At 35.5% G+C, this 13,022-nt stretch overlaps 1 protein-coding gene across 4 annotated transcripts in view; it reads right to left on the reverse strand.

The window, feature by feature from the left end:
- The window catches only part of DTWD2 (DTW motif tRNA-uridine aminocarboxypropyltransferase 2), a 152,474-nt gene that overhangs the window by 9,674 nt on the left and 129,778 nt on the right, over positions 1-13,022 (reverse strand). For all 4 annotated transcript variants that reach the window (NM_173666.4, XM_011543338.4, NM_001308081.2 and 1 more), the window contains one exon: positions 2,343-2,471. In NM_173666.4, the coding sequence (NP_775937.1) occupies positions 2,343-2,471 (129 nt within the window). The remainder of the gene's footprint in view (positions 1-2,342; positions 2,472-13,022) is intronic.

Genomic DNA, 13,022 nt, shown 5'->3' on the forward strand with positions numbered 1-13,022 from the left:
GGTCCTGTCACCATTCTGTTGTCTTAAACTTTGCCTTTTGTTAGATATTACACTCAGAATGTATTTTGCAAGTCTCAAGTTGTCACAATAAGGATTCCTTTTTTTTGTTTGTTTGTTTTTAAGATATCACATCACAAAGCACAATCTAGCAAGATTCAAGTCAGCCTGTGGCTTTATGTCATCAATAAATGCCTCGGGTTATATAAAACAATAGAAGTAATGAAAGAATGAAAAAATGCTGATGGAGAAGAGGCCCTAAAACAACGTAAAGTTGTCCTAACTATATAATGTTATATCATTTTTTCAAAAAGTTCCTCATTAGTTAACTTTGAAAGAATTCACTCTAATACTTTGTTGAGTCTAGAACATTTGTAAAATAAAGCCTGAAACATTCTTAGCTAATAGGATTCCTAATATAATGGTATATTGATTTTTAAATTTATCTTTTTTTACAAGTAGATGGTATATTAATTAATATAATGTACAAAATAATATAAAATTGGAGAGAAGGGAGCACCAGCAGAATTAGTAGTAGTAGTAGTACAAACCCTATCCTTAACTGTAACCCTATTATTCTACAACCACTATTACCATAACCACCACCATTACTAACATTAAAGGTTATATTTAGGATTGCAGTAAAGATCCAATTCCAGTTGTGGGAATAAGAGATATAAGTCCACAGAGAATTCTTTCCAGAACCCAAAAGGGGAGAAAAGTAAGCTTTAAATCTATAGCTAAGGAATATACTTTTCCCTCAAAATTTGAACTTTCAATGGGTCCTTGTTTGGTCTGATGTTGTCTGATCCTAGAGTTTTACATCAACAAAAAAGAAAACGCAGAGACTGTAGAGAAAGCAAGTTTAAACAACAGCACTGGGTTACATAATTCTATTAAGACACCTGTGAAAAGTGTGTATGTATATATATTTGCTTAAGAATATACAGAGATGATGGTAAATAAAACAGAAAGACACATATGGGGTATATAAAGTACTATGTTTATGGCTAGGGACATGGGAGTAGGTGACATGGTTAGAGGAGATGGAAAGGTGTCTGAGAACACTCCCTGCTCATTTAAAGTAAGAATCTATGTTCCTTCATGAATTTTTTTTCAAAAGCAGAGAAAGTGAAATTGCCTAGACCCTAAACAAAGTCTACTCAAACACACAGGCACACACACACACACACACACACACACACACACACACACACACACATACACACGAAAATCCTAGTTTTTTCAAAAGAAGAAAAGTCTCCAACTCTGACATATTCCACAGCTTAGGGTAGAGGAGAGGAAAAAAGTAATTCAAGGCCTGCTTCTAACATTCTTTAACACTCCTTGCTTTTGCTATCTTTTTGTTCTCTTTAGGATTAATATCTTGGTAGCTAATACATTTACTCTGAACTGAGCTTTCATCTATTATTGAAATTTCCTTCGTGTTTAAGGCATACTCATAACTGTAACCATAATGGATAATGAGAAAGAAAGAAGGCAGGAAAGAGTACCTCTTTCGCGTGTGTATGTGCGTGTGTGCATCCATGTGTTCATGCTGTGTTTTGAAGGGGGAGTTATAAATCCCTTTTAGTTGTGCTCATTATCCTCTGACTTTCTTCATGAGTTGTATTTATCAAAACTTTTCAATAATTAAAAAACCCTAACAATTTAGGTTTTATTTTACTATTTTTTCTTTTGCTACAAATGCTGTTTCTTGCATGTTCCAAAAGACTGAGATGTTAGTAAGCACACTGAAACATTATTCTTTGCTGATGATTATTAATTATATATGAAATCATCATGCTTTCATAGAAATTAAATGAAATAATTGCAGGTTATAATACTTTCATATTCTCTAGGCATTTTTTTTTTCAAGAAAAATGTCTTTTTTACATTCTAAGCAAGGTTAACACGAGAAACAGAAAGTTAGTATACGGCACCAAGGCAAAAATAAAAATGTTGCTATAGAATGTTCTTTTAACCAAAAAGAAGAAAAGGCTGAGCACAAGAGAACACAAAATACCAAAAAGAGAAGAGAAAACACTAAAAGAAAAATCTAGCCAAAAAACTACTTAATGTTGTGCTACTTAAATGTAATTTAGCATATTACAAATGCTGTTTGCACAGTTTAGTATGAATATTTAAATAATATAATCTGGAATGCTAAACACACACACAGAAAAACACCAGAGAGGAAACAAGGTTATAAAAGTACATAAATTTCTAACACAGAAGATTCTACTTGTCACATGAGTTACAAATTTAACAAGCATGTCTAAATCTTCTAGGTAAAATCTAAGAAAACTCCCACTTTGAAAAACTATAACCTTACAAAGACGTACCTCTTGTATGTAATTATTTTTCTCCAAGATGGAAAGAGCAACAGCTGCACACTCCAGTGTAGAAAGGCATCTATTAGTCGGCTGCATCCGAATTACATACTGACTAGAAATGCTAGTTTTTAATTGCACCTGAAATCAAAAACAAAATAGAACATAATTTTTGTTTTAAATTTAAAATTATAAAGTTTGTGTTTTAAATACTAATTACTTTCCTTCCAAAACTGCCAGCAGCTTAGAAGTACTAAATGTGTCAATATCTTTTATGTATAACATCCTTTTGTTGCAATTGTTAAATAGTAGAAGATAGCTATATAGAAGAAGACATATCCACAATATATACAACCAAAATAAAAAGACTAATAATCCCCTTGCAGTAAAGAGTGAATATACACTTCACAAAAGAAGTTATAAGAATGGCAAATAGGTACACAAAAAAGTGTTCAACATGATCTAATGTAAATTAAAACCACAATGGGGTAACATTTCACACTCAACAGAGTAGCTAAAATAAAAAAGGCTGCAGCTAAAATCAAAAAGGCTACAAGGCTACAGTAACCAAAATAGCAAGGTACTGGTACCAAAACAGATATATAAACCAATGAAACAGAACAGAGGCCTCAGAAATAATGCCACACATCTACAACCATCTGATCTTTGACAAACCTGACACAAACAAGCAATGGGGAAAGGATTCCCTATTTAATAAATGGTGTTGGGAAAACTGGCTAGCCATACACAGAAAACTGAAACTGGACCCCTTCCTTAAACCTTATACAAAAATTAACTCAAGAGGGATTAAAGACTTAAGCATAAAACCTAAATCCATAAAAACCCTAGAAGAAAACCTAGGCAATACCATCCAGGACACAGGCATGGGCAAAGACTTTATGACTAAAACACCAAAGCAATGGCAGCAAAAGCCAAAATTGACAAATGGGATCTAATTAAACTAAAGAGCTTCTGCACAGCAAATGAAACTATCATCAGAGTGAACAGGCAACCTACAGAATGGGAGAAAAATTTTGCAATCTGTCCATCTGACAAAGGGCTAGTATCCAGAATCTACAAGGAACTTACACAAATTTACGAGAAAAAAGGAAAACAACCCATCAAAAAGTGGGCAAAGGATATGAACAGACACATCTCAAAAGTATACATTTATGTGGCCAACAAACATAAGAAAAAAATCTCATCATCACTGGTCATTAGAGAAATACAAATCAAAACCACAATGAGATACCACCTCACTCCAGTTGGAATGGTGATCATTAAAAAGTCAGGAAACAATATATACTAGAGAGGATCTGGAGAAATGGGAACACTTTTACACTGTTGGTGGGACTGTAAACTAGTTCAATCACTGTAGAAGACAGCGTGGCAATTCCTCAACGATCTACAACCAGAAACACCATTTGACCCAGCAATCCCATTACTGGGTATATACCCAAAGGATTATAAATCATTCTACTATAAAGATGCATGCACACATATGTTTATTGCAGCATTATTCACAATAGCAAAGACTTGAAACCAACCCAAATGCCTATCAATGACAGACTGGATAAAGAAAATGTGGCACATATACACCCTGGAATACTATGCAGCCATAAAAAAGGATGAGTTCAAGTCCTTTGCAGGGACATGGCTGAAGCTGGAAACCATCATTCTCAGCAAACTAACACAGGAATCGAAAACCAAACACCACATGTTTTCACTTGTAAGTGGGAGTTGAACAATGAGAACACATGGACATCAGGAGGGGAACATCACACACCAGGGCCTGTTGGGGGGTGTGGGGGCTATGGGAGGGATAACATTAGGAGAAATACCTAATGTAGATGATGGGTTGAGCAAACCACCACGGCACGTGTATACCTATGTAGCAAACCTGCACATCCTGCACATGTATCCCAGAACTTAGAGCATAATAATAATAAAAAAGAAAATGAAAAAAAATAAAATAAAATAAAAAATAAAAAATGGGGAAAGAACTCCCTAGTCAATAAATGGTGCTGGGATAACTGGTTAACTATATGCCAAAGAATGAAACTGGATCTCTACATATCACCATACACAAAAATTAATTCAAGATGGCCAGGTGGAGTGGCTCACACCTGTAATCCCAGCACTTTGGGAGGCCGAGGCTGGCAGATCACTTGAGGCCAGGAGTTTGAGACCAGCATGGCTCACATGGTGAAACCCTGTCTCTACCAAAAATACAAAAAAAAAAAAAAAAAAACATTGCCAGGTGTGGTGCATGCGCCTATAATCCCAGCTACTTGGGAGCCTGAGGCAGGAGAATCACTTGAGCTCTGGAGGCAGAGGTTGCAGTGAGTCAAGATGGTACCACTGCACTCCAGACTGGGTGACAGAGCCAGACCCCACCACAAAAAAAAAAAAAAAAAAAAAAAAAAAAAAAAATTAATTCAAGATGGATTAAAGATTAAAATGTAAGGCCAAGGACTATAGAAATCCTGGAAGAAAACCTAGGTAATACCCTCTGGATATCAACCTTGGCAAAGAATTTATTACTAAGTCCTCAAAAGCAACTGCTACAAAAGCAAGAGTTGGCAAGTGGAATCTAATTAAACTAAAAAGCTTCTGCAAGGAAAAAGAAATTATCAACACAGCAATCCGAAAACCTACAGAATGGGTGAAATTATTTGCAAACTATGCATCCAACAAAGCTCTAATATCCAGAATCTACAAGAAGCTTAAACAAATTTCAAGCAAAAAACAAAGAACCCCATTAAAATGTGGGCAAAGGATGTGAAAATACATTTTTCAAAAGAGGACATACATGTGGCCAACAAGCAGATGAAAAAATGCTCAGTATCATTAATCTTTAGAGAAATGCAAATCAAAACCACAATGGGGCTGGGTGCAGTGGCTCAGGCCTGCAATCCCAGCACTTTCGGAGGCCGAGGTGGGTGGATCACATGAGGTTGGGAGTTCAAGACCAGCCTGGCCAACATGGTGAAACCCAATCTCTACTAAAAATACAAAAATTAGCTGGGCATGGTGGTACACATCTGTGGAGAATCACTTGAACCTGAGAGGCAGAGATTACAGTGAGCCAAGATCATGCCACTGCACTCCAGCCTGGGCAAAAGAGTGAGACCCTATCTCAAAAAAAAAAAAAAAAAAAAGAAAGAAAAAACTATCAGGGTAACCCACCCCCAATATTTCAACATAGGTTCTTTCTATTTTCCTTAAATGTCGGCTGGTCTGAGAAATAAAGAGAAAGAGTACAAAGAGAGGAATTTTACATCTGGGCCGCCGGGGGCAACATCACATATCGGTAGGACCGTGATGCCCACCTGAGTCACAAAACCAGCAAGTTTTATTAAGGATTTCAAAAGGGGAGGGGGTGTATGAACAGGGAGTAGGTCACAAAGATTACATGCTTCAAAGGGCAAAAAGAACAAAGATCACATGCTTCTGAGGAAACAGGGCAAGGACAAAATCGGGAACTCCTGATAAGTGTCTATGTTCAGCTGTGCACGTATTGTCTTGATAAACATCTTAACAGAAAACAGCGTTCGACAATGAGAACACATGGACACAGGAAGGGGAACATCACACACCGGGGCCTGTTGTGGGGTGGGGGGAGGGGGGAGGGATAGCATTTGGAGATACACCTAATGTTAAATGATGAGTTACTGGGTGCAGCACACCAACATGGCACATGTATACATATGTAACTAACCTGCACATTGTGCACATGTACCCTAAAACTTAAAGTATAATAAAAAAAAAAAAAAGAAAAAAGAAAACAGGGTTCAAGAGCATAGAACAGGTCTGACCTCAAATTTACCAGGGCTGGGGTTTTCCCAATCCTAGTAAGCCTGAGGGTACTGCAGGAGACCAGGGCATATCTCAGTCCTTATCTCAACCGCAGAGGACAGACACTCCCAGAGTGGCGGTTTATAGACCTCCCTCCAGAAATGCAATTCTCTTCCTAGAGTATTAATATCAATATTCCTTGCTAGGAAAAGAATTTAGTGATATCTCTCCTACTTGCACCTCCGTTTATAGGCTCTCTGCAAGAAGAAAAATATGGCTCTTTTTGCCCAACCCGGGAAGCAGTCAGACCTTATGGTTGTCTTCTGTTGTTCCCTAAAATCACTGTTATTCTGTTTATTTCCAAGGTGCACTGGTTTCATATCATTCAAACACATGTTTTACAATCAATTTGTACAGTTAACGCAATCATCACAGAGTCCTGACGTGATGTACATCCTCAGCTTATGAAGATAAGAGGATTAAGAGATTAAAGTAAGACAGGTGTAAGAAATTATAAGAGTATTACTAAGGAAGTGATAAATGTCCATGAAATCTTCACAATTTATGTTCCTGTGCTGCGACTCCAGCTGGTCCCTCCGTTCAGGGTCCCTGAATTCCCACAACAAAAAATCACAATGAGATACCACCTCACACAAGTCAGAAGGGCTATTATTAAAAAGTCAAAAAATAGCAGATGCTAGGAAGAGGTTATGGAGAAAAGGAAATGTTTATACACTGCTTGTGGGAATGTAAATTAATTCAGCCACTGTCGAAAGCGGTGTGGTGATTTCTCAAAGAAATTAAAACCGAACTATCAATTGACCCAGAAATCTCATAACTGGATATATATATATATATCTAAAGGAATATAAATTGTTCTATCATAATGACACAGGTACTTGTATGTTGACTGCAGCACTATTCACAATAGCAAAGGCATGGAATCAATCATGATGGATTGAATAAAGAAAACGTGGTACATATACATCATGGAACACTATGCATTCATAAAAAAAAATGAAATCATGTCCTTTGCAGCAACATGGATGCAGCTGGACGCCATTATCCTATGTGAATTAATGCAGGAACAGAAAACCAAACCACATGTTCTCATATGTAAGTGAAAGTTAAGTACTGGGTACACATGGGCATAAAGACAGGAACACAGACACTGGAGACTACTAGAGAGAGGAGAGAGGAAGTGGGGCAAGTGCTAAAAAACTACCTATCAGGTATTATGCTCACTACCTGGGTAACAGTATCATTCATACCCTAAACCTCAGCATCACACAATATACCCATGCAACAAACCTGCACATATACCTCTTGATCTAAAATACAAGTTGAAATTGTTTTTTTAAGTTAAAAAATAACAGATGTTGGCAACGCTGCAGAGAAAAGGAGATGCTTATACACTGTTGTTAAGAATGTAAATTAGTTCAGCCTCTATAGAAATTAGTTTAGAGATTTCTCAAAGAAATGAAAATAGAACCACCATTCAGCTCAGCAATCCAATTACTGGCTATACACACAAAGGAAAATAAATCATTCTACCAAAAAGATACATGCACTTATATGTTCACTGCAGCCCTATTCATAATAGCAAAGACATGGAATCAACCTAGGTGCCCATCACTGGTAAATTGGATAAAAAAAATGTGGTACATTTGCATTATGGAATACTACACAGCCATAGAAAGAATGAAATCATGTCCTTTGCAGCAACGTGATGCTGCTGGAGGCCATTATCCTAAGCAAATTAATACAGAAAACGAAAATCAAATACTGCATGTTCTCCCTTATAATTGGGAGCTAAACAATGGGTACACACAGAAATAAAGATAGGACCCACAGACACAGAGGGGAGGAGGGCAAGGATTGAAAAACTACGTATTGGGTACTATGCTCACTACTTAGGTGACCCCAAATCTAAACGTCAGGCAATATACCCTTGTAACAAACCTGCACATGTACCCTCTGAATCTACGAAGTTAAAAATTTTTAATACTTAAGTTTAGGGGGTTTTGTGACTTTACTGGGGAAGAAGATGTGGGGATAAGGAGTGGAGAAAGGGACTGTTTAAGAAGGTTAAGCATTTGTGTTAAACAACTACTTTAATCATGTATTAACTTTTAGTTGGAAAATTTTAAATTGGTAAACAAGTATTATTAGTCATAATTTATATCTCTGGAGGAACTTTGGTAAGTTAATAAAGTTGAGGTAGCTCACTTACAGCATACAAATATTATAAAAATTACAAATTTAGACATTTTTTCACATTATGAAAAATGGAATACATTTCCATTTAATCTGAGAAATCTATAAAAAGTGCTTAGACTTTTGATCCAAATAAGAATTGTGTTTAATTTATAAAATATGTCATGCTTATCTAATCCTTTCCTAGGACTATTAAAGGATTGCTTTCTTTTATTCTATGCAACTGTAATCTTTTTTTAATAATGCAAAATCTGAAAACCTTATGTCAAAATATTGTCATTAATTTCTCTTAGGATACAGGAAAAATTCAACCAGAGCAAAACTTAGCATGTTATTGAAATCGACATCAAGAATATAAATAAATAATGTTTTCCAAACATTATGCCTCAATTTAAAGTGACATTTTTAGAGCACTCATTTAGAAAAAAAAAATTCTAAAGAGAATAAACATGTAATTTTTTAAATTATATAGTCATATAAGAAAAGTGGATGTTAAAAAGACCTTTTCTACAACCATTATATTTGTCTAATCACATACACACAAAAGCAAACACACACAAAAACATCAAAATGGAGATTTATTCTCCCACAAAAATGGAGATATACCATAATCTTCAAGGTAGTCAACTCAAGAAATAGGTATAAACTTGATACTATGGGAAACTAGTGTTTCATTATCAATTACATCATTCATATGTTTCTAAAATATTTCACATTCTATATAAAGTTATACTTTCTTAAAGATTTTACATTAATCATAGAAATATGGTTTTAATAACCATATAACTTATATGTTGTTCCTTTAAAATTAAAATGTTGACTGGGCACAGTGGCTCACACCTGTAATCTCAGCAGCAGGAGGCCGAGGTGGGAAGAGTTTGAGACTAGCCTGGGCAACAGGCCAGTGCCCAGGTATTAGCCATAGTTAGCCAAGCGTGGTGGCATGCACCTGTGGTCCCAGTTACTCGGGAGTCTGAGGCAAGAGGATCACCTGCGCCTGGGAGGTTCAGGCTGCAGTGAGCCATGACTGTGCCACTGCACTCCAGCCTGGATGACAGAGCAAAACTCTGTCTCAAAAAAAAAAAATAATCATCATCATTTTCGGACCTGTAACTTAGTGTAAATATGTAATTACAAGAAGTTGCGGTAAAACTTTTTACCGCAACTTCTTGTAATTACATATTTACACTAAGTTACAGGTCCTAAAAGAAATTCCAAAAAAAGACAGTGTCTTGCAGAGGCAGTGTCTTGCAGGCAAGGGATATTTATCGCACAGCTTTTAAAATTAACTTTTACTTAAAACAAGTGATATGGGAATTTTTAAAATTTTATTTATTTTCTTTATTTAGCCCATTCCTGTTGATTGCAGGCAACTGTTTGATAATACTGCATATAAATGGATACCAAGTATATTATACCAATAAAGAAAACACTAACCTAAATTTCGACTTATTAAAATACTGATGAAAGATAAAGATGTTCATCTGAAAGTCTGCAATGGGAGTAAATATTGGGCCTAGTGATTGGCAAGAATATCTTTAGTATCAAGACTGACATGACAGCTTAATAGGATAGCATATAACTCAAGGTTACCACCCTTGTTAGAAATATATTGTAAACATTTTGCATTTGTTATTTTACTTTCTATAATTATCTTTTCTAAACATAAAAAATGCATGTTAATTATTAAAGACTTACAAGATTTAGAAATGCATAATATAAAAAGTGAAGTGCCCTATAATATCACCAGCCAGAGAAAACGACTATTTACTTCAAGGTATTTACTTTTACAACACCTTAATTTTCAAAATATGATTACAAAATTTTTAATATTTATAAAATAGAATAGGTAATAGTTGAGTTAGGAAGTATAAGACTAAAACTGACATCCTTGAATCTTCTAATAACCATTTAAGAAACTGAATATATCCAAAATGACTGACACCGTCAGTATGCTCCTCCCAGTATACTCCAGAGAAAGAGAATCAAGATCCATCCAAGTTCACTTACGGATGTCCATAATAAAACAGTAAAAGTTCTCCTAATAAACCCCACCTTTTCTGAAATAGCCATTACTCTAAATTTTTAATAATTCTCTTACTTTTTGGTATCCTAAATAAGACAATTGTTCAATTTTGCCTATTTTTGAACTTTATAAAAATTTAGGTTATATATTCTTCTATAACTTGTCTTTTTAACACTGTTATCTCAGGTATTCATCCATATTATTCCTATAGCTGCAGTGTATTTATTTTATGTCTATCTTACAGTATCCCTGTCTGTGAATTTGCCACAATTTATGTATTCATTGAAATATTTGGGATCTTTAAAGTTATTTGCTATTATAAACAAAGTAATAAAAATTAACCTATCTTGGTCTAGAAGTACAAGAGTGTCACTACAGTACACCCCTAGGAGTGGAACTGATTTAAGTACTAGGTTAAGCACATTTGCAATATCATGAAACAAAGACAAACTGCGTTCCAAAGTAGTTACATTATATACACCCATCAGTTCTGAATAAGAGTTCCGTCTGTTCCATGTCATCTCCTACATTTAGTATTATCAGACTTTTAAAAATGTTTGCCATATTTTGTATTTTTCTTTACTAAATTAGTCATCAGTTTATAAAGCTATTTTATATCCTTTACCTTCACTCCATTGAGGCTTACTTTTTTTTTTTTTTTTTTTTTTTTGAGATGGAGTTTTGCTCTTTGTTGCCCAGGCTGGAGTACAATGGCGCAATCTCAGCTCACTGCAACCTCTGCCTCCTGGGCTCAAGGGACTCTCCTGCCTCAGCCTCCCAAGTAGCTGAGATTACAGGTACCTGCCACCACGCCCAATTAATTTTTTTTTGTATTTTTAGTAGAGACGGGGTTTCAACATGTTGGCCAGGCTGGTCTCGAACACCTGACCTCAGGTGATCTGCCCACCTCAGCCTCCCAAAGTGCTGGGATTACAGGCATGAGCCACCGCACCCGGCAGCTTAGATTTTTACTGTTCATGTTATAAACGAAGAAATGTAGATGCACACGTACACTTCCATTAAAAAAAAGTTTGAAAATTGTAAGCGATCTTAACAGCAGTCTCTACTCTGCCACTAACTAGATGAGTGAACTTTCCTATTCATGTGTGTGGGGGTGTGTATATGTGTGTGTTAAGCTTTTGTGGTTTTTTAAATTAAGTATAACCTCTATGTGTACATACGTATACATACATAATATAGCGTGTATAACTCTTAATATGTGTTGGGCTTGATATATTTTACAAAATGAAAATTTTTACTTTGGCCATATGTTGGGGGTTTTTTGCAGTTTCCTAATGACAAATGCTATTAAGACTTTTGTCATATGCTCATTGGCCATATATCGTTTTTTGTGAAATGGCTGTTTAAGTCTTTTACCCATTTTACAAAAATTGGGCTGTCTTCTTATTAATTTTTCGGAGTCTTTATATATTACAAATATCTTCTCACTGTGAATTATGCTTTCACTCTACTGTCTTTTGATGACTAGAAGTTATTGATTTTAATGAAACATAATTTATAAATATTTTACTTTATGGTTACTGCTTTTCATATTGTGTTTAAGGAATCTTAAACACCAAAGTCACCTAAAAGAAAAGGAAACAGTAACTAGCAGATACACAGTGCTGGGCATGTGCCTGTTCCCACTAGCCAGAGTGGAAAATCTGATGATTCACACAGTATTGAGTGAAGTACACAGAAGTCTTTCCTCTGTAGCAGAGAATAGGTAGCTCTAGAATTAACACTTGAAAAGTGGTTGTGCAACTGGACTTACTGCTTCCTCTTACATATCTGCCATCATCAAGCGACTACGCCTGGGATAGTTTACAGATGTATGAAAAGCAAGCAGAACAGAATTGAATCTTATCAGTGGCCTAACCAGCCTGTGCTCGTTATAACAGTAAACCAACCAAGATTAGCAGAACTGCCTAGAAGACACCCAACTGACCCCCATGTGGGAGCAATAAGCTTATTGTTATAATGCTACTAAGATTTTGTGGTTATTTGTCACACAACAGTATTGTGGCAATGTGTAACTGATACTTTCACATGGCAAAAAAAAAAAAGATTTCTTGCCTTAGAATGACTGCAGAGCTTTGCAATACTTCAAAATGAGATTTTCTGTCATTTAAAATAAGGGGGTTGATTTAGAGAAAAGGTACTCAATGGAATTTAAGGGTTTCAGAAAAGAATATCTATATTCAGATAAGCTATATAATTTCAATAAAAGCTTTCCCCACCCAAGTTTCTAATGTTGACACAGACCAGTACTTTAATAACACAAGAACTGTTTGAGCTGGTGAGAAGTCTCTCAGGAGAAAAGTGTGATTGTCTTTTCGGTGTCTGTTTTAGAATAGCATGTGAGTTAGAGGTTCTTCACCAACTCTTAAAAACTTTGTATTACTGAACTTTTCAAACATACCCAAAAGTAAAATAATATAATGAAGACCTATGTATGTATTATGCAGATTCCAGAATTATCAACATTTTGCCAATCCTGCCTGTTGTAACCCCTAGTTCCTTGCTCTTTTTTTAAAACTATATTAAAGCAAATTACAAACTTCTTGCTATTTTATTCCTATAAGCTTCTGTATACAAGCATAGGTGATTACTATTTAAAATCATTACCACACTTTTATTACACCTAACAG

This window comes from Homo sapiens, chromosome 5 (genome assembly GCF_000001405.40).
Source record: "Homo sapiens chromosome 5, GRCh38.p14 Primary Assembly".
Lineage (NCBI taxonomy): Eukaryota > Metazoa > Chordata > Mammalia > Primates > Hominidae > Homo > Homo sapiens.